At 41.5% G+C, this 27,930-nt stretch overlaps 1 pseudogene, besides 2 other annotated features; it reads left to right on the forward strand.

Annotated features, from left to right (window-relative positions):
- Positions 8,811-9,011: a silencer, noted in NCBI's record as "peak7269 fragment used in MPRA reporter construct". NCBI's record gives its function as "represses an SCP1 promoter by STARR-seq MPRAs in K562 erythroleukemia cells {active_cell/tissue: K562}" and the evidence as "EXISTENCE:reporter gene assay evidence [ECO:0000049][PMID:32103011]".
- RFC5P1 (replication factor C 5 pseudogene 1) lies at positions 17,469-18,083 on the forward strand (annotated as a pseudogene).
- Positions 24,810-26,009: an enhancer, noted in NCBI's record as "P300/CBP strongly-dependent group 1 enhancer chr9:79694935-79696134 (GRCh37/hg19 assembly coordinates)". NCBI's record gives its function as "activates an origin of replication core promoter dependent on BRD2, BRD4, P300/CBP, MED14 and CDK7 cofactors, with strong dependence on P300/CBP, by STARR-seq in HCT116 cells {active_cell/tissue: HCT116}" and the evidence as "EXISTENCE:reporter gene assay evidence [ECO:0000049][PMID:35650434]".

A 27,930-nucleotide genomic window follows, 5' to 3' on the forward strand; every position in this document is an offset into this window, starting at 1 on the left:
CTAGTCAACAGTCTGAGAGTGGGCGTGATATGAGCACCGTTGATGCTCCTCCTCTTTCCTCCTTCTGTGACTTTGCTGCAGTTTGGTTATAAGTAGATGAGATGGTGCTGAATCAGGTTCAACTTTGCAGGTAAAGGGAGCACAATAGGGAATTGAAGAGCTACAAGATAAAAGGAATCCTGTCCTCTCCAACTGCTTGCCATCTCAATCTTTTATATGAAAGAGAAATAAACCATTTTTATTTTTGGAATCCCAGTTATTTGGCTTCTGTTAAAATAACTAAGCCAATATCCTAAGTACTAATTCCTTCTTTTTCCCAACCAGAATCCTTCTTCTGCAATCCAACTAAAATGATCTTATTACCCTGCAAATATGACCAGTCATTCCCTTGGTCTTATTCGTTTTTGTAGTCTTCAGAGGGCTTAGTATATGATCTTGTTTATAGCAAGTATTCAAGAATATTGATTATTGGTAAATTATAAAGTTTATTTTCTAGTGGTACCTAAATTGTTAAAAATAATTGACTTTTAATTGTATGTGACACAGCATAGTCAGTGGATGAGGTAGCAGCTTAAGGCTTCCACAGCTTCTGAAATCACCCCAACATAGGCAGCATCCCCCAACTCCATTATCCAATAACCAACGGATCAGCAAACTCTCTGATGCTGAGTCTTATTCACAAGGATGAAGTTCCCGTGTGTGTCACTTACCACCCTAAATGAAAGGAAGAGAAAGAAATAGAGAGAGAGATGAAAGGAGAGAACAACGGGGGAACGGGGAAGGAGGAGAGAAAACAGTATTGAACTTTGTTTAGTGAGAAGTAGCAGAAGGTCATTAGGAATTTATCCACAGTTACTTGGAAAGGTAGGCTGTATTTATGACCACTAAAAATTAAGCCGTAATAATGAGTCCAGGTGCTATATTTCTGCTAGGAAGGTGATCATTACAAGTTTAGATTCCGATTCAGCTAATGTTTGTTGAACTCCTACTGTGTGCTAAGAATTGTGCATGGGAAACCCTCCTAAAATAATTCAGTGTTGAAATTCCACTTGCCCTCTAGGAAGGGTTTCTTGACTACCCAAGACTTGGCAAAATCTTCAAGAACAAGACTGTGTTATAAACCTCTCCATTATCTCTTTAATAGTCTTTTAATTGATCTCTTTGCCTCGTCTTGCAAATCTTCTCGAGTTCTAATCAGCTCAACTCGCAGAGCTGGGCTAAAATAAAAACTGTGTCAGAAATAGTGTCAGAAATTCCATCAAGTTTAGAGCTGCCTCCTCTCCCAAATGTATGTTTTTCAAAGCTTTGCTAATTTTTCTCCCAGTGTACAGCATCATAAATTTGATAAACATGAATCATCAGTGAGACTCTATCAGAGAGTGCCATCAATAATGTAGTTGTTTTTCACAAAGCACTGCATTACACTTGACATTTGGAAATGAAATCCACGTTTTTGTGTGACATACGGAACAAATTGCACTAGACGACTGGAGGCACCTGGGCAACTGATGTTTTCATTTGGGTTCCTGCAGTTCCTCGTTATTTTGTATTCACTTTCTCTTGTTCTTTGTTTTCATTCAAATTTTGCATCTCAAAAAACAAAGTAATCCAGATGTCAAAAAGCAATGAGGATCATTTGGAATCCAAAGTGTCCTGGTTCACTGTAAAGCTTTTTTTTTTTTTTTTTTTTTTTTTTTTTGAGATGGAGTTTCATTCTTGTTGCCCAGGCTGGAGTGCAATGGCATGATCTCAGCTCACCACAACCTCCGCCTCCTGGGTGGAAGCAATTCTCTTGCCTCAGCCTCCCGTGTAGCTGGGACTACAGGCATGCACCACCACGCCCTGCTAATTTTGTATTTTTAGTAGAGGCAGGACTTCTCCACGTTGGTCAGGCTGGTCTTGAACTCCCGACCTCAGGTGATCCACCTGCTTTGGCCTCCCAAAGTGCTCACAGGCATAAGCCACCGCACCTGGCCTCACTGTGAAGCTTTTAAGTGGTACAAGCGCTTGTTGTCTTTCCCATGGATTGTAGTACTCATGGCAGAGAACAAAGCAACAAGTATTAAGGCAATGTAAATAATCAAACTTCACCCACTCACTGAATAAAATGCACTATACTTTCAAAAAATTGATCTCACTTTAAACCCCACTGAAGTTTGAATACTCAATACCTGTTGATCTAAACAGAAGAAACACCTGAAGCCTTGAGGCATAGTAGCTTTCTGAAGAACAAAAAAACAGATTAATATTTCACATGGAAAGAATTTTTCAAGTTCTCTAAACAAGTGAGATAGCTCACATTTACCTCCAGCATGGGTCTTTTGAGTTCCATTGGACAGAAGGGTATCAGTTAAATTGTAAACATCACACACCTGCTTCCATGGTTAGCAAAAGCAGCATACTATAAAAAACAATGAGATCTCCAAATCTGGAAGATAAAATAAAATATAATAACAGCTGTTAACATTTCTTAAGCATTTATGACACAATAACACTGTACTAAATATTTCATCGGGATAATGAAATGTTTTTATCACATCAACCCTTTGAGACGGGTGCTCTTGCCCTATTTTACAGATGAAGAAAAGGAGGTCTAGAGAGGTTACCAATGTTGCACAACTAGGAAGAGGTGAAGTAAGGATTTAAACACAATATAACTTTTTTTTTTTTTTTTTTTTGAGGGAGAGTTTCCCTCTTGTCCTGGCTGAATTGCAGTGGCACGATCTCGGCTCACTGCAACCTCCACCTCCTGAGTTCAAGCAATTCTCCTGCCTCAGCCTCTCTAGTAGCTGGGATTACAGGCATGCGCCACTACGCCCGGCTAATTTTGTATTTTTAGTAGAGACGGGGTTTCTCCATGTTGGTCAGGCTGGTCTCAAACTCCCGACCTCAGGTGATCCACCTGCCTCGGCCTCCCAAAGTGCTGAGATGACAAGCGTGAGCCACCGTGCCAGGCCCTAAATACAATGTACTTTGTTTGTTTGTTTTTTGAGACAGAGTCTCGTTCTGTCACCCAGGCTGGAGTGCAGTGGCGCGATCTCGGCTCACTGCAACCTCTGCCTCCCGGGTTTAAGTGATTATCCTGTCTCAGCCTCCCGAGTAACTGGGATAACAGGCTTCCACCACCACTGATTTTTTGTATTTTTTAGTAGAGATGGGGTTTCACCACGTTAACCAGGCTGATCTCTTGCACTAGTAAATACCAGAAATTTTGTGCTTTTCAACATATAAAAGTTTAGTTGGGGCCGGGCACAGTGGCTCATGCCTGTAATCCCAGCACTTTGGGAGGCCGAGGTGGGTGGATCACTTGAGGCCAGGAGTTCAAGACCAGCGTGGCCAACATGGTGAAACCCCAATTCTGCCAAAAATATAAAAATTAGCCAGTTGTGGTGGCCAGCACCTGTAATCCCAGCCACTCGGAAAGCTGAGGTATGAGAATTGCTTGAACCTGGGAGGTGGAGGTTGCAACGAGCTGAGATTGTACCACTGCACTCCAGCCTGGGTAATAGAGCAAGACTCTGTCAGAAAAAAAAAAAAAGAAGAAGAAAGGAAGAAGAAAGAAAGAAAGAAAGAAAGAAAGAAAGAAAGAAAGAAAGAAAGAAAGAAAGAAAGAGAAAGAAAGAAAGAAAGAAAGAAAGAAGGAAAGAAAGAAAGAAAAAGAAAGAAAGAAGGAAAGAAAGAAGGAAAGAAAGAAAAAGAAAGAAAGAAGGAAAGAAAGATTGGTTTTATTTTTAAGCACTTTTAGGTTCATAGCCAAATTGAGCAGAAAGTATAGAGAATTCCCATACACCCAAATTCCCCCAACCACATACACACCACTTACACTATGCATTCTATAACTTTAAAAGTGCACGATGACACATATCCAGCATTGTAGCATCATACAGAGTAGTTTCAGTGCCTAAAAATCTGTGCTCCACCTATTCATCCTTTCCTTCTCCCTAACCCCTGACATTGATCTTTTTGCTGTCTCCATAGTTTTGGCTTTGCCAAAATGTCATATAGTTGGAATATGTAGCCTCTTCAGAATGGCTTATTTTACTTACTAATATGCATTTAAATGTCATCCATACGTTTTTATATCTTTATAGCTCATTTCTTTTGAGTACTAAACATTTCATTGGACATACCACAGTTTCTTTATCCATTCACCTGCTGAAGAAAATCTTGGTTGCTTGCAAGTTTGGGCAATTATGAATAAAGCTACTATAAACATGCATGTGCACGTTTTTATGTGGGCAATAAGTTTTCAACTTATTTGGGCAAATACCAGAGAGTGTGACTGCTGGATCATAAACTAAAAGTATGTTTAGTTTTGTAAGAAACTGCCAAACTGTCTTTCAAAATGGCTGTATCATTTTATATTTTTATCAGCAATGAATGAGAGTTCCTGTTGTTTCGTATTTTCCCCAGAATTTGGTATTGTCAGATTTTTGGATTTTGGCCGTTCTAATATGTATATGGTGATATTTCTTTGCTGTTTTAATGTGCAATTCCCTAATGATATGATGTTGAGCATCTTTTTCTATGCTTATTTGACATTGCCATCTGTATATCTTCTTTGATGAGGTATCTGTTAAGATTTTTGGCCCCTTTTAAAATTGGGTTGTTCATTTTCTTGTTGTTGAATTTTAAGAGTCCTTTGTATATTTTGGAAAACAATCCTTTATCAGTTATGTATTTTGTAAATATTTTCTCCCATTCTGTGTCATATCTTACATTCTTTTGACAGAGTCTTTTGCAGAGCAAAAGTTTTTAATTTTAATGAAGTTCAACCTATAAGTTACTTCTGTTATGGATGGTGCCTTTGATATTGTATTGAAAAACTCACTTAGATTTTCTCTTATGTTATATTCTAAAAGTTTTATGGTTTTTCATTTTGCATTTGTGTGTATGATTCATTTTGAGTTCATTTTTGAGAAAGGTATAAAGTCTGTGCCTGGATTAATTTTTTTTTTTTTTAATTGATCATTCTTGGGTGTTTCTCGCAGAGGGGGATTTGGCAGGGTCATAGGACAATAGCGGAGGGAAGGTCAGCAGATAAACAAGTGAACAAAGGTCTCTGGTTTTCCCAGGCAGAGGACCCTGCGGCCTTCCGCAATGTTTGTGTCCCTGGGTACTTGAGATTAGGGAGTGGTGATGACTCTTAATGAGCATGCTGCCTTCAAGCATCTGTTTAACAAAGCACATCTTGTACCGCCCTTAATCCATTCAACCCTGAGTGGACACAGCACATGTTTCAGAGAGCACAGGGTTGGGGGTAAGGTCACAGATCAACAGAATCCCAAGGCAGAAGAATTTTTCTTAGTACAGAAGAAAATGAAAAGTCTCCCATGTCTACTTCTTTCTACACAGACACGGCAACCATCCAATTTCTCAATCTTTTCCCCACCTTTCCCCCATTTCTATTCCACAAAACCGCCATTGTCATCATGGCCCGTTCTCAATGAGCTGTGGGGCACACCTCCCAGACGGGGTGGTGGCCGGGCAGAGGGGCTCCTCACTTCCCAGTAGGGGCGGCCGGGCAGAGGCGCCCCTCACCTCCCGGACGGGGCGGCTGGCCGGGCGGGGGGCTGACCCCCACCTCCATCCCGGACGGGGTGGCTGCCGGGCGGAGAAGCTCCTCACTTCCCAGACGGGGTGGCTGCCGGGCGGAGGGTCTCCTCACTTCTCAGATGGGGCGGCCAGGCAGAGACGCTCCTCACCTCCCAAACGGGGTAGCGGCCGGGCAGAGGCGCTCCTCACATCCCAGACGGGGCGGCGGGGCAGAGGCACTCCCCACATCTCAGACAATGGGCGGCCGGGCAGAGACGCTCCTCACTTCCTAGATGGGATGGCGGCAGGGAAGAGGCGCTCCTCACTTCCTAGATGGGATGGCGGCCGGGCAGAGACGCTCCTCACTTTCCAGACTGGGCAGCCAGGCAGAGGGGCTCCTCACATCCCAGACGATGGGTGGCCAGGCAGAGACGCTCCTCACTTCCCAGATGGGGTGGCGGCTGGGCAGAGGCTGCAATCTCAGCACTTTGGGAGGCCAAGGCAGGCGGCTGGGAGGTGGAGGTTGTAGCGGGCCGAGATCACACCACTGCACTCCATCCTGGGCACCATTGAGCACTGAGTGAACGAGACTCCGTCTGCCATCCCGGCACCTCGGGAGGCCGAGGCTGGCGGATCACTCGCGGTTAGGAGCTGGAGACCAGCCTGGCCAACACAGCAAAACCCCGTCTCCACCAAAAAAATACGAAAACCAGTCAGGAGTGGCGGCGCGCGCCTACAATCGCAGGCACTCGGCAGGCTGAGGCAGGAGAATCAGGCAGGGAGGTTGCAGTGAGCCGAGATGGCAGCAGTACAGTCCAGCTTCGGCTCAGCATCAGAGGGAGACCGTGGAAAGAGCGGGAGAGGGAGACCGTGGGGAGAGGGAGAGGGAGAGGGAGAGTGATATTCTTTAAAAATGGTGTTGGATTAATTTTTTTAAAATTAAAAAAGGCCCAATGATATTGTTCCAGTATCATTTTGTTGAGAAGACTATCTTTTCTCTATTGCTTTGCCTTTGCTCCTTTGTGAAAGATCAGTTGACTATATTTGTGTGAGTCTATATCTGGTCTCTCTATTCTTCTCCACTGCTCTATTTGTCTGTTCTTTTACTAGTGCCACACTGTTTGATGACTGAAGCTTTATAGTAAACTTCTTTGTTTTGAGACGGAATCTCACTCTGTCGCCCAGGCTGGAGTGCAGTAGCGCTATCTCGGCTCACTGTAACCTCCAACTCCCTGGTTCAAGCGATTCTCCTGCCTCAGCCTCCTGAATAGCTGGAGTAACTGGGATTACAGGTGCGCATCACCATGCCCAGCTAATTTTTGTATTTTTAGTAGAGATGGGGTTTCATCATGTTGGTCAGGCTGATCTAGAGCTCCTGACCTCGTGATCCACCTGCCTTGGCCTCCCAAAGTGCTGGTATTACAATCATGAGCCACCGTGCCCGGCCTCTATAGTAAACTTTTTTTTTTTTTCTTGAGATCGAGTCTTGCTTTGTCACCAGGCTGGAGTGCAGTGGCGTGATCTCAGTTCACTGCAACCTCCACCTCCCGGGTTCAAGCAATTCTCCTGCCTCAGCCTCCCAAGTAGCTGGGACTACAGTCACGTGCCACCATGCCCAGCTAATTTTTGTATTTTTAGTAAAGACAAGGTTTCACCATGTTGGCCAGGATGGTCTCGATCTCTTGATCTCATGATCTGCATGCCTCAGCCTCCCAAAGTGCTGGATTACAGGCGTGTGCCACCGCGCCCAGCCTATAGTAAACTTTGAAGTTGGAAAGTATTTATCCTCTGGCTTTTTTTTAGTCTTCTGACTTTGTTCTTCTCATTCAACATTTTGTTGCCTATTCTGGATCTTCTGCATCTCGTATAACCTTTAGAATCAATCAGTTTATTAACATTCACAAAATAACTTGCTGGAATTTTGATTAAAATTGTGTTGAATCTATTGATCACATGGGGAAGAACTGACATTTTAACAATATTGAGTCTTCCTCTCCATGAGTGTGAAATATGTCTTCATTAATTTAGTTCTTTGTTTTTTTTTACTATCAGAGTTTTGTATATAGAACTTGTACATAGTTTGTTAAAGTTATATCTATGTCAACTCTTGAACAATGAGGGGATTAGGGGTGCTGACCCCGCAATGGAGTTGAAGATCCAAGTGTAACTTTTGACTCCCCAAAAACTTAACCACTAATAGCCTACAGTTGACCAGAAGCTATACTGATAACATATGCAGTAAATTAACACATATTTTGTATATATATCAAACTATGTACATGTTGTATATAGTTGACACTTGAGCAACATGGCTTTGAAGAATGTGGGTCCACTTATACAAAGATTTTTTTCTTTTCTTTTCTTGTTTTTGTTTTTTGAGATGGACTCTCGCTCTTGTAGCCCAGGCTGGAGTGCAATGGCATGATCTCAGCTCACTGTAACCTCCACTTCCCAGGCTCAAGTGATTCTCCTGCCTCAGCCTCCTGAGTAGCTGGGATTACAGGTGCCCACCACCATGCCTGGTTAATTTTTTTTTTTTTTTTTTGTATTTTTAGTAGAGACGGGGTTTCACCACGTTGGCCAGGCTGGTCTCGAACTCCTGACCTCAGGTGATCCTCCTGCCTTGGCCTCCCAAAGTGCTGGGATTACAGGATTACAGGCATGAGCCACTGCACCTGGCCTACAAAGATTTTTCTTCATAAATGTATTGGAAAATTTTTTTGAGATTTGAAACAATTTGAAAAAATTCACGGATGAACTGTGTAGCCTAGAAATAATGAAAAAAATAGGAAATAGGTTTATCATGGATGCATAAAATATATGTAGATACCAGTCTATGTTATCGTTTACTACCATGAAATAAACAAAAGCCTTTAATAAAAAGGTAAAATTTATCAAAGTTTATGCACACAAGCACTTACAGACCACACGTGGCACCATTCACAGTCAACAGAATGTAAACAAATATAAAGATGAGGTATTAAATCATAACCTTATAAAATACACTGTAGTACATACTGCACTGTAATAATTTTGTAACCACCTCCTCAAGCTATTGTGATGAGGTCAAGTATTTCGAGTATCTGCTTAAAACACCGTGTGATGCTAACTAATCATCTCCACATGAGCAGTTCATCTCTCTAGTACATTTTGCATCACCGTAAAAGTGATTTCTTGCAGATCTCACATATTTGTTCATCATGTTTAGTGCAATACTGTAAACCTTGAATAACACTATGGGAGCCACACATAGTGCCACTAGTGATGTTGGAAGTACTCCCAATAAGCAAAGAAAAGTCATGACACTGCAAGAAAATGTTCATTGCTTGATATGTACTGCAGATTGAGGTCTGCAGCTGTGGTTGCCTGCCATTTCAGACAGATGATTCATCTTGTAAATAGACCACATAGGCTGGGCGCTGTGGCTCATCCCTGTAATCTCAGCACTTCAGGAGGCTGAGGCGGGTGGATCACTTGAGGCCAAGAATTTGAGACCAGCCTGGCCAATGTGGCAAAACCCTGTCTCTAGTAAAAATACAAAAATTAGCCAGGAGTAATGGGCTACACTTGTAGTCCCAGCTACTCAGGAGACTGAGGCAGGAGAATCACTTGAACCTGGGTGGTGGAGGTTGCAGTGAGCCAAGATGGTGTCACTGCCTTCCAGCCTGGGCGACAGAGCAAGACTCTGTCTCAAAACAAACAAACAAACAAACAAAAAACCTCATAAACTTACAGTAGCTGTACAGAACTGTAAATGTATTTTCTCTTTATTAAGATTTTTCTGGGCCAGGCATGGTGGCTCATGCCTGTAATCCCAGCAGTTTGGGAGGCTGAGGCAGGCAGATCACTTGAGCCCAGGAGTTTTGCCACCAGCCTGGGCAATATAGTAAGACTCCATCTCTACAGAAAATACAAAAGTTAGCCAGGCAAGGTGGTGTGCACCTGTAGTCCCAGCTACTCGGGAGGGAGGTTGATGTGGGAGGGTCCCTTGAGCCCAAGAGTTTGAGGCTGCAGTCAATCGACATCATGCCACTGCACTCCAGCCTAAGTGAGAGTGAGTATGGACAACTATGTAGAAATACGTTTTTTTCTTAACAACATTTTCTTTTCTCTAGCTTACTTTATTGTAAGCATAGTATATAACTTATATAACATACAAAATATTTCCTGGAGCTCAGAAAACAATACCCCAAAATGAAGGTCTCAGCAGCAGCCTCAGAAGCAAAAGTTTTTCTCTGACCATCTCCTGCTCCCCTGTCTCTCAGGCCCATTCTCTCCTGAGGCTAGCCGTAGAAACTAGAATCCCTCTTCCCCGGGCAGGTCTTAGAAACCAGAACTCCTTTTCCTGAAAGCCAGCCATAAAACCTAAAAATATTCTATGTAAAAACTAGCCATAAAGAAATCACCTGAGGGACCTTGTTTGACTGGAGGTCATGAAACCCCCATTCCAGAGAGGGCCCTGCCCCATACTCAGAAGGCGGGAACTCATGCTCAGAGAGGGCAAGAAGAATCCGGGCAGACAGGCCTTGCTGTCTATTAACATTAGATCAGACCCTTTTTGTCCACTTATATTTCTACATAGCTGTCCATACTTTGTTGAACCTAAACATAAAAATGGACGATTTCCCCTGTATCTTTGGGTCTTCATTCTGAAGGCTCCTATGTACACATGTTAAATAAATGTGTATGCTGGCTGGGTGTGGTGGCTCACACCTGTAATCCCAGCACTTTGGGAGGCTGAGGCAGGCGGATCGTGAGGTCAGGAGATCGAGACCAGCCTGGCTAACATGGTGAAACCCGTCTCTACTAAAAATACAAAAAATTAGCCAGGCAAGGTGGCACACGCCTGTAGTCCCAGCTGCTTGAGAGGCTGAGGCAGGAAAATCGCTTGAACCCAGGAGGCGGAGGTTGCAGTGAACTAAGTTCGCGCCACTGCACTCCAGCCTGGGTGACAGATGAGACCCTGTCTCAAAAAAAAAAAAAAAGTGTATGTCTTTTCTCCTATTAATCAATCTGCCTCATGTCAGTGATTTTTAGCACACCTTTAGGTGTTAATTGCCTGCTTATATTATCAGTATGGCTTCCAATCAACAGTAGGCTATTTGTAGGTAAGTTTTTGGGGAGCCAAAAGTTATACTTGGATTTTCTAATGTGTGGAGGGTCATGTCCCTGAATTATTCAAGGGTCAACTGTACTGTACTCCTCCCATAAAATAAGCTAGAGAAAAGAAAATGTTATTAAAACAATCAAAAGGAAGAGAAAATATATTTACTATTTATCAAGTGGAAGTGGATCATCATGAAAGTCATCTTCATGTTCTTTATGTCAAGTAGGCTGAAGAGATAGATGAAGAGGAGGGTTTGGTGTTTCTATCTCGGGGGTATCAGAAGCAGAAGAAAATTCTCAAACAAGTAGACCTGACAAGTTCAAACCTATGCTGTTTAAGGGTCAACTTTATTTCATTTTGGGGGATGTTGATGTAAATGGTATTGTGTTTTTAATTTCAAATTCTACTTGTTCATTGCCGGTATATAGGAAAGTAATTGACTTTTGTATATTATGCTTCTATCCTGCACCCTTGCTGTAACATGTATTAGCTCTAGGAGTATTTTTGCTAATTCTTTTGGATGATCTGCCTAGACAATCATGTCATCCAAGAACAAAGATAGTTTCATTTCTTCCTTCTAATTTATATATATTTTTTTATTTCCTCTTCTTGCCTTTTGCATTAGCTGTATTTTTTTGTAGATGTTTATTATCAGATTTTTAAAAAGTCCTCTATTCCTAGTTTGCTGAGAGTTCTTATTACAAATGTGGGTTGAATTTTGTCAAATGCTTTGTCAGCATCTATTGATATAATCATGTGATTTTTCTTTTTTGCCCTGTTGATGTGATGGATTATATTAATTGATTTTCTAATGTTGAATCAGCCTTGCATACCTGAAATAAAAGTCATTTCATTGTGATGTATAATTTTTTTTACTCGTTGAATTTGATTTGCTCAATTTTTTTAGGATTTTTTTCATCTATGTTCATGAGAGATATTGGTCTGTAGCTTTCTTTTCTTGTAATTTTTTTTGTTTGGTATTAGGGTAATGATTGCCTCGTAGAATAAGTTTGAAAGTATTCCTTCTGATTCTATCTTCTGAAGGAACTTGTAGAGAATTGGCACAATTTCTTCCTTAAATATTTGAGAGAATTTACTGATAATCGATTTGGGACTGTTGATTTCTGTCTTGGAAGGTTATTAATATGATAGACATAGGTCTGATATAGTTTGGCTGTGTCCCCACCCAAATCTCATCTTGAATTGTAGCTCCCATAATTCCCACGAGTTGCTGAAGGGACCTGGTGAGAGATAATTGAATCATGGGGACAGTTTCCCCCATACTGTTCTCATGGTAGTGAATAAGTCTCATGAGATCTGATGGTTTTATAAGGGCTAACCCCTTTTGCTTGGTTCTCATCCTGTCCTGTCTGCCACCATGCAAGATGTGCCTTTCACCTTCTGCTATGATTGTGAGGCCTCCTGAGCCACGTGGAACTGCAAGCCCATTCAACCTCTTTTTCTTTATAAATTACCCAGTCTTGGATATGTCTTTATCAGCAGCATGAAAACAGACTAATACAAGGTCTTTAATAGATATTTCTTTAATAGATGTGGGTTTATTCGGATTGTTTATTCCTTCTTGTGTGAGTTTTGGCAGATTATGTCTTTCAAAAAAACTGATCATTTTACCTAGCTCATCAAATTTGTGGGCATAGAGTTGTTCATAGTATTTTTTTAATCATCCTTTAAATATCTATAGGATCTGTAGTAATATTCCTTCTTTCATTTCTGATACTAGTAATTTGCGTCTTGTCTCTATCTCTCTATTTTGTTTTTTTGTTATCCTGGCTAGAGGCTTGTCAATTTTATTGATCTCTTAATAGAAACTGGTTTTTAATTTTATTGATTTTTCTCTATCAATTTCCTGGTTTAAATTTTATTGATTTCTACCCTAATTTGTATTATTTATTTTCTTCTGCCTACTTTGAATTTAATTTGTTCTTTTTCTGGTTTCCTAAGGTGGAATCTTAGATTATTTATTTTACATCTTACTTCTTTTATTTAAAATTTTTTTTAATAAATAGAGGTGGGGTCTCACTGTGTTGCTCAGGCTAGTCTCAAACTCATCCCACCTTGGACTCCCACCTTGGCCTCCCAAAGTTCCAGGATTGCAGGTGTGGACCGCCATGACTGGCCTTCTTTTTAAATATATATATTCAACTGGGCCTAGTGGCTCATGCCTATAATCCCAGCACTTTGGGAGGCTGAGGCAGGTGGATCACCTGAGGTAAGGAGTTTGAGACCAGCCTGGCCAACACAGTGAAACCTGATCTCTACTAAAAATACAAAAATTAACCAGCTACTTGGGAGGCTGAGGCAGAAGAATTGCTTGAATCGGGGAGGCAGAGGTTGCAGTGAGCCAAAATCATGCCACTGCACTCCAGCCCGAGTGACAGAGGAGGGCTCCATCTCAAAAAATAAAATAAAATAAAATGAATATATATACTCAATGCTGTAAGTTTTCCTTTAAGCAGCATTTCACTGCATCCCACAAATTTTGTTGTTTTATTTTTATTTTCACTTAGTTAAATTTTTTAAAATTTCTCTTGAGAGTTTTTTTTTTTTTTTTTTTTTTTTTTGGAGATGGGGTTTCACTCTTGTTGCCCAGGCTGGAGTGCAATGGTGCGATCTTTGCTCACTGCAATCTCTGCCTCGCAGGTTCAAGCAATTCTCCTGCCTCAGCCTCCCGAGTAGCTGGGATTACAGGCGTGTGCCACCACACCCGGCTAATTTTTTGTATTTTTAGTAGAAACGGGGTTTCACCATGTTAGCCAGGCTGGTCTTGAACTCCTGACCTCATGTGATCCACCCGTCTTGGCCTCCCAAAGTGCAGAGATTACAGGAGTGAGCCACCGTGCCCAGCCAAGAGTTCTTCTGTGATCTTGGTTGTTTAGCAGTGTGCTGTTAATCTCCAAGTTGGAGGAATTTCCAGCTATCTTCTGTTATTAATTTCTAGTTTAATTTCACTGTAGTCTAAAAGCAGAGATTTATCATTTCTATCTATTTAAACTTGTTAAGATGTATTTTATGGCCCAGAATGTGGTCTATTTTGGTAAATGTTTTATATGAGCTTGAAAAGAATATGTATTCTGCTGGTATTGGATGAAATATTCTATGGGTGTCAATTATATCCAGTTGATGATAGTGCTGTTGAGTTCAACTATATCCTTAATGATTTCTACATGCTGGGCCTATTCCTGATAGAACCAGAATAGTGTTGAAGTCTCCAACTATAATAGTGGATTCATTTATTTTTCCTTGCATTTCTATCCATTTTTGCCTCATGTATTTTGAAACTCTGTTTTTACATGCACACACATTAAGGGTTGTTGTGTCTCTTAGAGAATTGACCCTGTATCATTATGTAACACCCCTCTTTATCCGTAATAACTTTTGTTGTGAAGCCTACTGTCTAAATTAATACAGCAACTTCAGCTTTCTTTTGATTAGTGTTAGCATGGTAAAAAGGCTTTAAAAATTCTCTTCTAATCTAAGAAAAATTACTTTAGCATTTGATACATTTAGTTCTGTTCTTATTTTCACTGTGTATTTATCTCATAAAATGTTATCATAATATGAAAATAAAAAATATAATATTTTTCCTCTGAACATTACATAATAAGCATTTTGCTGGCTGCTACTACATAATCTTCATAGCCATTGTAATCGGCAGATTAATAGTATTCTTTTTTTTTTTGAGACAGAGTCTCACTGTGTTGCCCAGGCTGGAGTGCAGTGACTCAATCTCAGCTCACTGCAACCTCCACCTCCCAGGTTCAAGCGATTTTGCTGCCTCCCAAATAGCTAGGATTACAGGTACATGCCATCACACCCGGCTAATTTTTGCATTTTTAGTATAGACGGGGTTTCGCCATGTTGGCCAGGCTGGTCTCAAACTCCTGACCTCAGGGGATCTGCCCACCTTGGCCTTCCAAAGTGCTAGGATTACAGGCATGAGCCACCAGAATAACACCCACCCAGAATCATAGTATTCAAAGGCAAGGAAATAGTTTCTCTCCTAATGCTTCCAAAAAGGAACACAATCCTGCAAACACCTTTATTGTAGCCCAATGAGACCCATGTCAAACTTCTAACATACAGAACTGTAACAAAATAGATTTGGGTTGTTTTAAGCCAAAAAGTCTGTGGTAATTTGTTATAGCAGAATAGAAACTTAACACAACTGCTGGAGTTCAGAAAATGACACCTCAAGGTATGGTGTTTTGGCATGCTGATTACTTTGCATTGAAAGAAACAGAAGACTTTAAAAGGTGTCTCGGAACCAAGTACTTCCTAATCTTTTCTTGTTTCTTCTCCTTCCCCAACCCCTAGCGCACCCCCTTCCCCGCCCTGCCAAGTGTAGGAGAGGGATCTCTCTGGAATTTCCTTATCTGACTAAGGAAACTTCTCTCCAAAAGAAATGCAGTGGTCTTAAACCATCTTCCCAGGAATCTCATCAAGTAACCAGGAAAGATTAACACCTGAAAAAGAAAAAAGACTAAAAGTTATCACCATGTCTAGACAGACTTTTATTTTTCTTTTGAGACAGGGTCTCGCTCTCTTACCCAGGCAGAAGTGCAGTGGCATGATCACAGCTCACTGCAGCCTCGACCTCTCAGGCTCAAGCGATTCTCCCACCTCAGCCACCTGAGTAGCTAGAACTGCAGGTGCGCACCACCATGCCCACCTAATTTTTGTATTTTGGGTAGAGATGGGGTTTCATCATGTTGCCCAGGTTGGCCTCTAACTCCTGGGCTCAAGTGATTCACCCACCTCAGCCTCCCAAAGTGCTAGGATTACATGCATGAGCCACTGCGCCCGTCCCAGATATGGTTTTCATCTATTCTTCTAAGGGCAGCTGAGAGATTTCCTGGGAGACTTTATCTGCATAATTAGACAACCTTTGTTCAGAGTGAACTTCCACCCCTCACCTTCCTGCCACCTCCCCTAGAGCTCAGAGGAACTTTGTCCCCAGCCATTGTTCTTTGGGTTCATTCAATTTCCCTGAAAAACATCTTACATGGCAGCAGGCAAGAGAGCGTGTGCAGGGGAACTGCCCTTTTTAAAAACCATCAGATCTCGTGAGACGTATTCACTAACATGAGAACAGCATGGGAAAAAAATGCCCCCGTGATTCAGTTACCTCCCACCAGGTCCCTCCCACAACACATGGGGATTATGGGAGCTACAATTCAAGATGAGATTTGGCTGAGGACACAGCCAAACCATATCAGTAGGGCATAACTCAAGATGGAAAAATAGAATAAATGACTAATCCTAGGATAGTTTAATAGGATACCTTAATTTCTGTCCTACTTTCCAAAAAGTTTCTGGAGCCAATGTCTGAAGTGTCCTTTCAATGGAACCTGGTGGATAGGCAAGAGTGGTGATGAATATTGGGAAGGTGACCGTGGAACAGTAGGAGCAGGACGTCTCTAAAGGTACAGTAAACTCCTTCTTCAAAGAAAACATCCACATATTGGTTGATCAGATATTTGATCATTAGCTCCAATAAGTTTTAGCTATTGGTAATTAATTGTGATTCAATGGAATGTTATATAGCCATGAAATCATATATATATATATATATATATAATTTTTTAACAGATGTTTGTGATATGTTGGTAGACAAAGAAGGTAAAGATTTGGAAAAAATTTGCAAGGATTTATACCAAAATGTTTACAATGACAATCTCTCTCTTTTTTTATTTTTTTTTTGTTTTTTTTTGAGATGGAGTTTTGCTCTGTTGCCCAAGGTGGAGTGCAGTGGCGTGATCTTTGCACACTGCAACCTCTGCCCCTCACCCCCCAGGTTCAAGCGATTCTCCTGCCTCAGCCTCCCCAGTAGGTGGAGTTATAGCTGCCCACCACCACGCCTGGCTAATTTCTGTATTTTTAGTAAAGATGGGGTTTCACCATGTTGCCCAGGCTGGCTTTGAACTCCTGACCTCAGGTGATCCACCCACCTCAGCCTCCCAAAGTGTTGGGATTACAGGCATGAGCCACCACACCGGGCCTACAATGACAATCTCTTGACAATCTCTGGATGGTAGGATTTCAGAGGAGGTGTTTTTTGTTTGCTTACACTCATGTGACAATGTCAGGGTTCTATTATTAGCTGTGAAGACACATTGGAAACATAACATATTCAGAGATCTATTATTAACTGTGAGGACATGTTAGGAACATAACAATTTTCTTGGGTCCACTCAGAGCTGATCACCCTCACGGCAGACAGTAGTACAAACCTTGTCCGGGTTGAAAAATACCAGCCACATTTCTCATCAGAACATCCTGAGCACCATTCAAAAATTTATCAGTGAACATTGACTGTCACATCTACTTCTCTATGGCCATCTAGAGGTAAAATAGGCTAACAACTCTATAGCTGTACTGAACAACTACACAAAGAAGAATTCAGCACCTTGCTCTTGGAGGAATAGGTATCATTCAGAAACCAATCTTGAGCTTTGCCAGTACAAGATAATGTTTAAGAAAGGCTTAAGGCCGGGCGTGATGGCTCATGCCTGTAATCCCAGCACTTTGGGAGGCTGAGGCAGGTGGATCACTTGGGGTCACGAGTTCAAGAGTAGCCTGGCCAACATGGCAAAACTCCATCTTTACTAAAAATACAAAAATTAGCTGGGCCTGGTGGCATGCACCTGTAGTCCCAGCTACTCAGGAGGCTGGGACAGGAGAATCTCTCGAACCTGGGAGGCGGAGGTTGTAGTGAGCTGAGATTGGGCCACTGCACTCCAGCCTGGGCAACAGAGTGAGATTCTGTCAAAAAAAAAAAAAAAAAAACAGGAAAGGTTTATAATGAAAAGCTAATGTCATGACTCAAGATGGTCAGAATGCCTGGAAGAACGTGATTGAGAAATTTATTTTGCTTCATCTGTAATTATCCTTCAAAGATAATCACCACGTTGCAGTCCTGCCTGATATATGAAGTTCCAAGCTAGTCCTTTGACTCTTGAACTCATGGTTCCCCATATGAGAACCCCATAAAAGAAGAGAAAGTTGGCATAAGATGGATTGCAACCACGTGTAACTTTCTAGGGGAGACATGTAAAGGCCTTAAATGTCTGGCAGAGGACCAATGTGGTTTTTGGGAAGGGAACGAAAGGGAATGGTTACATGTGTATGGGACACTCCTTCAAGTCTGATTTTGCCAGCATTCTGGACTAGATGTTGAATCCAGACCTCACCATGGACTATAGAAATATTATGGTGTTGAAAACCACAACAAAGTTGGCATTATATGATATGCTTTTTTGTACATATAATTGACTTTCCATCGTCAGTTCAAATACATGTATTGCCCAAAATGGGAGACATTGAGTAAGGACTTTCTATTGACACCAACCATTGAAACGATTCAGCAAAGTTTCCTCCTTGCCGCTTTTAAATCAATAGAGACTCAATCATTGCAGAGGCATAGGCTTGTAGCTGTAATTTGCAGGACCCAGCCACAGTTTGAGAATAAAGAACACAGTTATGTGATGAAACTGTAATCATCCAAAAATATTGGGAAACAGAGTTCCAGGGCTTGAGTTGGCAAAATTTTAGGCTGGGCGTGGTGGCTCATGCCTGTAATACTAGCACTTTGGGAGGTCAAGGCAGGTGGATCACTTGAGGTCAGGAGTTCGAGACCAGCCTGGCCAATATGGTGAAACCCTGTCTCTACTAAAAATACAAAAATTTGCCTGGTGTGGTGGCACATGCATGTAGTTCCAGCTGCTGAGGCAGAATTGCTGGAACCCGGGAAGCTGAGGTCGCAGTGAGCCGAGTTCGCCCCATTGCACTTCAGCCTGGGCTTCGCACCAAGACTCCATTTAAAAAAAAAATTTTGTTTTAAATAGTAATGCATTTGTGATAGGTACAGTAGCAATATAAAAAGGAAGATCTGATATTCACATATCTCATTGTATTGCTTATTTGTGGGGGTATTTCAAGATAACTGTAGATAGGTAGATAGATAGATAGATAGATAGATAGATAGATAGATAGATAGATAGATATTAATAGGTAAACTAGAAGCTTTCAGAAGCTAAATTGGTGTCTTTGGGTGCTCGGTGCGTAATCAGTGAAATCATAATGCCATATCACCTGCCAGGAATACTAAAGTATTTGAAATAAGCTCTCAGACAAGAAATAATAAATGCCGTTAAAAATAGTTTTTATTTCCAACAACCATTCAGATAATTTAGCAACCGTTGTACATTTTGGCACCTGCTGGGAAGAAGTACGAAAACAGTTCACACTGAGAGGGTGAACAGCTCATTCTGTAGACACTAAGCTAGTGAAACAGAGCATCACTGTTCCACGTTGTCAAAGGACATTGTAATTCTTTAGCTCTCCCTACAGTGTTGTAACTCCAGCTTCCCTCAGGATGCTGGAGATGGACAAGTGGTGCCAGGTCTGTGCTGAAAAAATCCTCAGGAAGTTCACGGAAATAAATTCACAGTAAACTTAAGCTAAGTTACTGAGTGGTTAAAATGTACCTCCTGCCTGTTGATGTTTTGAAGCCCCATAGGGGTCTATTTTTTCATTTATTCATAAGTGTTCACTTCCCTTCAGTGAGTAAGAATTAGAATAATAGTTAACATTTCTGGACTTACTTTTCACTAGGAACTGTGCTAATAATGTTGCATGCCTTGTTTATCATTCCCATTCTCATACAATATGAGGTTGGTACTACCATTATCTTCATTTATATGCACAGAAGATGATTTGGTCAGTTCCTATCTTGCACAGTACCTAAGTGAGAGACTCCAGTATTGAACCCGGGCAGTCTAAATCCAGAGCCTATCCTCTTAACTACTATTTCACACAACCATTCTATGCAATAACTAAAAAGTATTAATCATCCTTCAAAATATTACAGACCATAATTATGCCAGTGTTCTTTTCATCACTATCAACTATGTAACCATGTTTTGTTCTTTAAGAGCTTTTCTGGGTTTTATAAAATGTCTCATTCTTAGGCCAGGCACAATGGCTCACGCCTGTAATCCCAGCACTTTGGGAGGCTGAGGCGGGCGGATCACTTGAGGTCGGGAGTTCAAGACCAGCCTGACCAACATGGAGAAACCACGTCTCTACTGAAAATACAAAATTAGTCGGGGGTGTCAGTACATGCTTGTGATCCCAGCTTCTCGGGAGGCTGAGGCAGGAGAATCACTTGAGCCCGGGAAGCGGAGGTTGCAGTGAGCCGAGATCGTAGCATTGCACTCCAGCCTGGGCAACAAGAGCGAAACTCCATCTCAAAAAAAAAAAAAAAAAAAAAGTCTCATTCTTGACCAAAGCATAAATCCTGGGGAGGGGCTGGTGGGTGAAGAAAGAAGGAGACCTTCTCACCACTGGAGAGCTGATTAATTTACAATTAGTAAAGGCTAAAAAGTCCCTTTCTGAAACTTTTGTTTGGAGCCCTAAAATTAAAATGCAGTCACTGAATTCTATCTCTTTTTGGGAAAAGAAGATCTAGACAAGCATTAACTTTCTAGGTCTCAAATCTCCTCTCTATGGCTAAACTGAGAATTCCATGGTGTGGAATTTCAGTGTGGAACCTCTGCCAGCGCATATGGATATGCCCTTTGGACTGATTCTCAAAGCTCAGTCTTTTACTTTTTCAAGTGTATGTCATTAAAAAAAACTTTAAACATACAGAGAATATGAAAATTTTAAAGGAATAGTACAATGAACAGCCTTAGACACATCATTCAGATTCAACACCCATGTACCTACTACAGAGATGTTAACATATTTTGTCATATTTGAATATATCTGTACGATAAGAAGAATAAGAATATTCTCTTACATAATCACGTACTGTTAACACATCTGAGAAAATAAACAGTATTACAGTATTTTTCTTTATTTTCTTTTTCTTTTTTTTTTTGGAGACGGAGTCTAGCTCTGTTGCCAGGCTGGAGTGCAGTGGCGCGATCTCGGCTCACACTGCAACCTCTGCCTCCCAGGTTCAGGTGATTCTCCTGCCTCAGCCTCCTGAGTAGCTGGGATTACAGGCACGTGTCGCCATGCCCAGCTAATTTTTTTTTTTTTTTTGTATTTTTAATAGAGATGGGGTTTTACCATGTTGGTCAGGCTGGTCTCGATCTCCTGACCTCGTGATCTGCTCGCCTCAACCTCCCAAAGTGTTGAGATTACAGGTGTGAGCCCCAGGCCTGGCAATAAACAGTATTTTTCTAATATCCTACAACACTCAGTCTACATTTGAATTTTTCTACTTGTTCCAAAATTGTCTTTTATGGCTGATTTTTTTGCACCAGTGTTAAAACAATATATATGCATTGCCTTTGGTTGTTGTATTGCTTTAGTCTCTTTTATTCTAACAGTTCCCCCTCTCTCCTTTTTTTTTTAATTTTAAAATTAATTTTTTAAAAAATTTTTAGAGATGGAGTCTCACTCTGTCACCCAGGCTGGAGTGCACTGGCGTGATCTCTGCTCACTGCAGCCTCTGCCTCCCGGGTTCAAGCAATTCTCTAGCCTCAGCCTCCCAAGTAGCTGAGATTACAGGAGTGCACCACCACGCCCAGTTAATTTTTATATCTTTAGTAGAGACGGGCTTTTGCCATGCTGGTCAGGCTGGTCTCGAACTCCTGACCTCAGGTGATCTGCCCACGTCAGCTTCCCAAAGTGCTGGGATTATAGGCGTCAGCCACTGCGCCCGACCTCCCCACCCCCCCACCATTTTTTTTTTAAAATAGCATTGACATTTTGAAAGTATCAAGAAGTTCTTCTATATAGAATGTTCCACATTCTGTGTGTATTAGGTTGTTTACTCTTGGCATCATTTGACTTCATTCCTGAGCTCTTATATTTCCTGTGAACTAGAAGTTTAAGGGCCTAGATATATCTTGGTTTAACATTCTTTCGCCAAGAATACTTCGTAGGTAATGATTTCATTCTTGAAGGACACAATGTCAGGTATGTCATTCTGCTCTGAGTGTGGGCATTGGTTATGGTGATGGACAATGAGTTCTCTCCCTTATAAATACATTTCTTTTTCTTTGAAATTATCAAGAAATCTTAGCCGGGCACAGTGGCTCATGCGTGTAATCCCAATACTTTGGGAGGCCAAAGCAGGTGGATCACCTGAGGTCAGGAGTTCAAAACTAGCCTGGTGAACATGGTGAAACCCCATCTCTATTAAAAATACAAAAAAATACAAAAAAATTGCCGGGTGTGGTTGCAGGCGCCTGAAATCCCAGCTACTCAGAAGGCTGAGGCAGGAGAATTGCTTGAACCCAGGAGGCGGAGGTTGCAGTGAGCCAAGATCGCACCATTGCACTCCAGCCTGGGCGACAGAGCGAGACTCCGTCTCCAAAAAAAAAAAAAAAAAAATTGGGGGGTTATAATTTGGCACCATTAATATGAATTGTTCCACAACATGTTTTCATTTAATGACTTTATAATCCATTGATGATCCTTCCATTCACCATTCTTTCTTGTATTGATTGCCTTTTGTTCCTCTGTAAAGGGCTTTTGTGGTTATAATACCAGTTTGATAGGTTCCTATGTTTTCAACTCGAGGGCTTGATTTTTGTTGTAGGGTTTGCTTTTTTCTTTTTAATTAACTTAATTTTTTACAGACAATACACACAAAGTTCAGAGTTAAAAGTATGTGAAAAAGTATATACCTAAAAAAATTGAAATCAAGGACTTGAACAGATAGATATTTTTACCCCCATGTTTTAACTTCATTATTCACAATAGCCAAAAGGTCTATTGATGCAACCCAAGTGTCTTTTGGATGAATGGAGAAACAAAATGTGTTGTATATATACAATGGAATATCTATTCAGCTTCAAAAAGGAAGAAAATTCTGATACATGCTACAGCATGGATGAACTTGAGGACATTATGCTAAGTGAAATAAGCCAGACACAAAAAGACAAATACTGTATGCTTTCACCTATTTAAGGTACCTAAAGGAGTCAAATTAATAGGGAGAGAAAGAAGAATGGTAGTTGCCAGGGGCTGGGGAGAGGGAAGAATGAGAAGCTGTTTTTAACAGGTTTGCTTTGTAAGATGAAAAAAGTTTTAGAGATTGAATACACAACAATGTGAATGTACTTCACACTCCTGTACTGTACACTTAAAAATGACTAAAATGGTAAATTTTATGTTATGTGTATTTTATCACAATTAAACATAAACGTACATCCAGGTGTGGATCATGCCTATAATCCCAGCACTTTGGGAGGCCGAGGTGGGCGGACTGCCTGAGCTCAGGAGTCAGAGACCAGCCTGGCCAACATGGTGAAACCCTGTGTCTACTAAAAATACAAAAATCAGCTGGGTGTGGTGGCACGCACCTGTAATCCCAGCTACTTGGGAGGCTGAGGCAGGAGAATTGCTTGGACCTGGGAGGCAGAGGTTGTAGTGAGCTGAGATTGCACCACTGCACTCCAGCCTCAGCAATATAGCAAAACTCCATCTCAAAAAAAAGACAAAAAAAACAAAAAAAAAGATATTCTTAAAGAAATCTCACTTCCATCCCTTTCCCCTCAAGCTCCATAGGTTACTATTTTTATTATTTTCTGACATCTTTCTGGAGTTTCATTTTACAAGTTAAACAAGTATATATATGCATTCTTACCCCTTTCTTACACATAATATACACTAAAAGGTATAGATCCAAATTTATCTTTTCCCAAAAAGATTATAATAAAGTAAGTGGAGTCATAGCTTTATACGTTTATTTCTTATACAATTTTGTGTTTAGATCTCACACAATTTTTTGTTTCCTCTTATTGATGGAAATGGTGGAAGTTACACAAACCTTCTGCAGTAGAACTCCTGTGACTGTTGTTTACATTGTCACACAAATGGAGAAGATTGCTTCTGGTGCACCATGACACACATACACACACACACTCATACACACTCTCATACACACAAACTTTAGTTCTTGGTCTGATGAAGAAACTTGGTTTTAGATTTTGATAATAAATATCATCAGTTTCTAATTGACATTATTCTGTTTTTTAAAGTTTCTAAACCTCTTCTGCTTTTTATACCTCCTAATACCATTGATAATATAACCTCAAGAAAATGGCAGGATTTGCTCATTCAAAACTAATGCAGAGAACTCCCAAATACATGAACCAAAAATGGAACTGAAAGGAGAAATAGATAAATCCATAATTGTAGTTGGAGATTTTTCAACACCCATCCCTCACTTGTTGATAAAGTAGACAGAAAAATTATACAGAATCAGTTGAGACGGCACTAGAGAGGCAACCCTTATTAATGGTGACTGCTGTTTCTCTATCTAAATTCCAGTTGCTTTAACTACCAATTCTACTCCTTTCCTGATATCTGGCATAGTGTGTGCTTCAAGTGGCATTTCAGCTCCTGATAGGTTGAGAACTTGAGAAAATGATGTAATCGTCTCACAGGTTCTTCCTGCCCACTGCACAGACAAAAAACAATTCACTGAGACTGTGAAATAGATAGGCAACATCCTGATGGCAATAGATTGGCATCAGATAGGCAATACTCAAGGCAGGGTAATTCATATGATATACCAGCCATGGAGGATTTTTGAGGAAAAGGAATAAAAATTATATAGGTCTGGTTGCACCTTGACTAACCAGTCCAAAACTGTAAAGATTTTTGAAGATGAAAGTTGGAAAACTGTGAATATAAGCAGCGAAAGGGCAAGTTTCTTGACTATTTCTGCAGTAAAGAAAGAGTTCAGTTGACACTAGCCTAGCCATGTGGTAGACAGAGTTAGTACTCAAATCATTCTTCCCAAAGGCCTAGAGGTTTGGGTTTTTCAAGGATAGTTTGGTGTGCAGGGGAAGAGGGAATAAGTGCAGCTGATTGGTTGGGGACGCAATCATAGGGGTGTGGAAAACGGTCCTTGTGCGCTGTTTCCCTCTGGGTTGGGGGCCACAGGACTGGTTGAATCATGAGTCCAGGTGGGGTTAGTCTGAAAAACATCTCAAAAGACCAATCTTAGGTTCTACAATAGTGATGTTATCTACTGGAGCAATTGGAGAAGTCGCAAATCTTGTGACCTCTAGCCACATGATTCCTGAGCAGTAAGGGATTATAGAATCTTCACTTACGTTTTAGCAGAATTCAGGCTCTTCCCATGATCCTAATCTTGTGGCCTTTCATTAGTTTTACAAAGGCAGCTTCAGCCCCTGAAAAAGGAGGGGAGCAGTTTTAGGGAGGGGCTGTTATTATCCCTGTTTCAAAGTTAAATTACAAACTAAATTCCTCCCATCGTTAGCTTGGCCTACACCTAGGAATGAGTGAAGACAGCCAGCCTGTGAGGCTAGAAGCAAGATGGAGTCAGCCATGCTAGACTTTTCTGCCTGTCTTAATCTTTGCAAAGACAGTTTCAATGAGAGTGTGAAAGCTGCATTTCGGTAATCCAGGGTATGGAGAACATGTTAAACAGTTAGTCTTGCTGAGACATAGAATTTCTAAAAACTACCCTGATGGGAGAATGTTTCAAGTGAGCCCTCCCCTACCATCTCTACCACAATAAATTCAAGGACACTCAGGTATGGTGACCTTTCAGGGCCTCTCGAGGAATTACAGTCGTTCTCTCCCTGTTTCTCCTGAAAATCACAGCACAGTGGCCTCCAGAACCCCATCAGGAAATGAAAACCTTTGCCTTTAATTTTGCAGGAATTTCTACAGCAGCAGCCGGACAGGAAGAATGCACCATCATGGAAGATCTAACTCTGGGGATTGGGAAGACCAAATTTGCTCTCTAAATCACTCTGGTTCAAGTTCTTACGTCTCATAGTGGTTGCAATTAATTAGGAAATATGAAGAAGTCATGACCCATCTTCTTTCTGTGTTCCCACTGATTAGCAACGATCAAGCACCAGGCCTGGAAGAAATATTGTCAGACTGTGTTATGTTGGGTTGTTTTGTTTGGTTTGGTTTGGTTTGGTTTTGGTTTTCTGTTCTGAGTCAGAGTTTCGCTCTGTTGCCCAGGCTGGAGTGCAATGGTGCGATCTCAGCTCACCACAACCTACGCCTCCCGGGTTCAAGCGATTCTCCTACCTCAGCCTCCCAAGTAGTTGGGATTACAGGCATGCGCCACCATGCCTGGCTAATTTTGTATTTTTAGTAGAGACAGGGTTTCACCATGTTGGTCAGCGTGGTCTCGAACTCCCGACCTCAGGTGATCCGCCCACCTCGGCCTTCCAAAGTGCTGGGATGAGCACTGCACCCAGCCTCGTGTATGTTGGTTTATGAGTCACCCGGGAAAGAATGCCTGACCCATGGTTGTCATTTGGCAATGGGGCATGCAGGCAAACACCACAGCTCCATGGGACCCCACAAGAATTTATTACAAAGATTTACCTGAGGCCATCAGACAGGCAACACTCAAGGCACAGTAATTCATATGGTATACCAGCCACAGAGGATTTTTGAGGAAAAGGAATAAATATTATATAGGTCTGGTTGCACTTTGACTGACCAGTCCAAAACTGTAAAGATTTTGAAGATGAAAGTTGGAAAACTGTGAATATAAGCAGCAAAAGGGCAAGTTTCTTGACTATTTCTTAGACACAAGAGTATTTTACTGGTTTCTAGTATGTGACTTATACTCTGAATACTCATTGCAGACCATTTCTATAAGTTGTTTGTCCTAGCTTTCTAACTTTCTTTTTTTTTTTTTTTTTGAGACGGAGTATCGCTCTGTTGCCCAGGCTGGAGTGCAGTGACACGATCTCAGCTCACTGCAAGCTCTGCCTCCCGGGTCCACGCCATTCTCCTGCCTCAGCCTCCTGAGTAGCTGGGACTACAGGTGTCCACCACCACGCCCAGCTAATTTTTGGTATTTTTAGTGGAGACGGGGTTTCACCATGTTAGCTAGGATGGTCTCGATCTCCAGACCTCGTGATCCACCCACCTCAGCCTCCCAAAGTGCTGGGATTACAGGCGTGAGCCACCGCACCTGGCCTGAATGTCCTAACTTTCTTAAATGTCTTTGAAAGTATAAATCAGAAGGCTGACACATTTTTTTGTAACAGGATAAATAAATAATTGACCTCTATCATATTTAACCAAATAACCTGTAAGGTAAAGACATAAACATAAAATAGAGGAAATGTGTGGAGAGATAAAACTGGTGTTGGTAGGCCGGACGCAGTGGCTCATGCCTGTAATCCCAGCACTTTGGGAGGCTGAGGTGGGCGGATCACCTGAGGTCAGGAGTTCGAGACCAGCCTGGCCAACATGGTGAAACCCCATCTCTGCTAAAAATACAAAAATTAGCCGGGCACAGTGGCACATGCCTGTAGTCCCAGCTACTTGGGAGGCTGAGGCAGGAGAATCACTTGAACCTGGGAGGTGGAGGTCGCAGTGAGCCAAGGTCGTGCCACTGCACTCCAGCCTGGGTGACAGAGTGAGACTCGGTCTCAGAAAAAAAAAAAACAAAAAAACAATACAACAACAACAAAACTCATATCTCAGGAAAAGAGACTAAAGGTCTATACCCAGGACACCACATCCAGACAGACTTTTCACCTATCCTTCTGAGAGCTGCTACCTGAGAGAATTTATCTGCACATTAAGACAACCTTTGTTGGCAGTGCGGTTCCTCTCCTCACCCTCCTATAGTTTGTTGTCATCATCCCCTAGGAGCCCCCAGCTCCTATTTCTTTCTGTAGCTCAAAATGCTATTTAAGCTTCAACCCATCTGGCCTTCTTTGAGTCTCAAACTTTGTGGGAGCCCTGTGTGTATGCACATAATACATTTGTATCCCTTTTGTCCTGTTAATGTGTCTACTGTTGAGTTTATTTATTTATTTATTTATTTTGAAACAGAGTCTTGCTCTGTTGCCCAGGCTGGAGTACGGAGACATAATCTCGGCTCACTGCAACCTCTGCCTCCCGGGTTCAAGCGATTCTCCTGCCTCAGCCTCCTGAGTAGCTGGGATTACAGGTGTCTGCCACCACGCCTGGCTAATTTTTTTGTATTTTTAGTAGAGATGGGGTTTCACCATGTTGGTCAGGCTGGTCTCGAACTCCTGACCGCAGGTAATCTGCCTGCCTCGGCCTCCCAAAGTGCTGGGATTACAGGCATAAGCCACTGTGCCTGGCTGCCGAGTTTATTTCTGAAACTCAAATATTGAACCTCCAGAGAGAAAAGAGAAGATTCTGTCACATCTATACTTCTTAGAATCTGACTTTTCTAGAAAAAGGTAATATCTACACATAGCCAAGACCTACCCTTTGGGTAAACTAGGAGGTTTAATTTTTTGGTAAACTTAGATAAATAC

Source organism: Homo sapiens, chromosome 9 (assembly GCF_000001405.40).
Source record: "Homo sapiens chromosome 9, GRCh38.p14 Primary Assembly".
Classification (NCBI taxonomy): domain Eukaryota; kingdom Metazoa; phylum Chordata; class Mammalia; order Primates; family Hominidae; genus Homo; species Homo sapiens.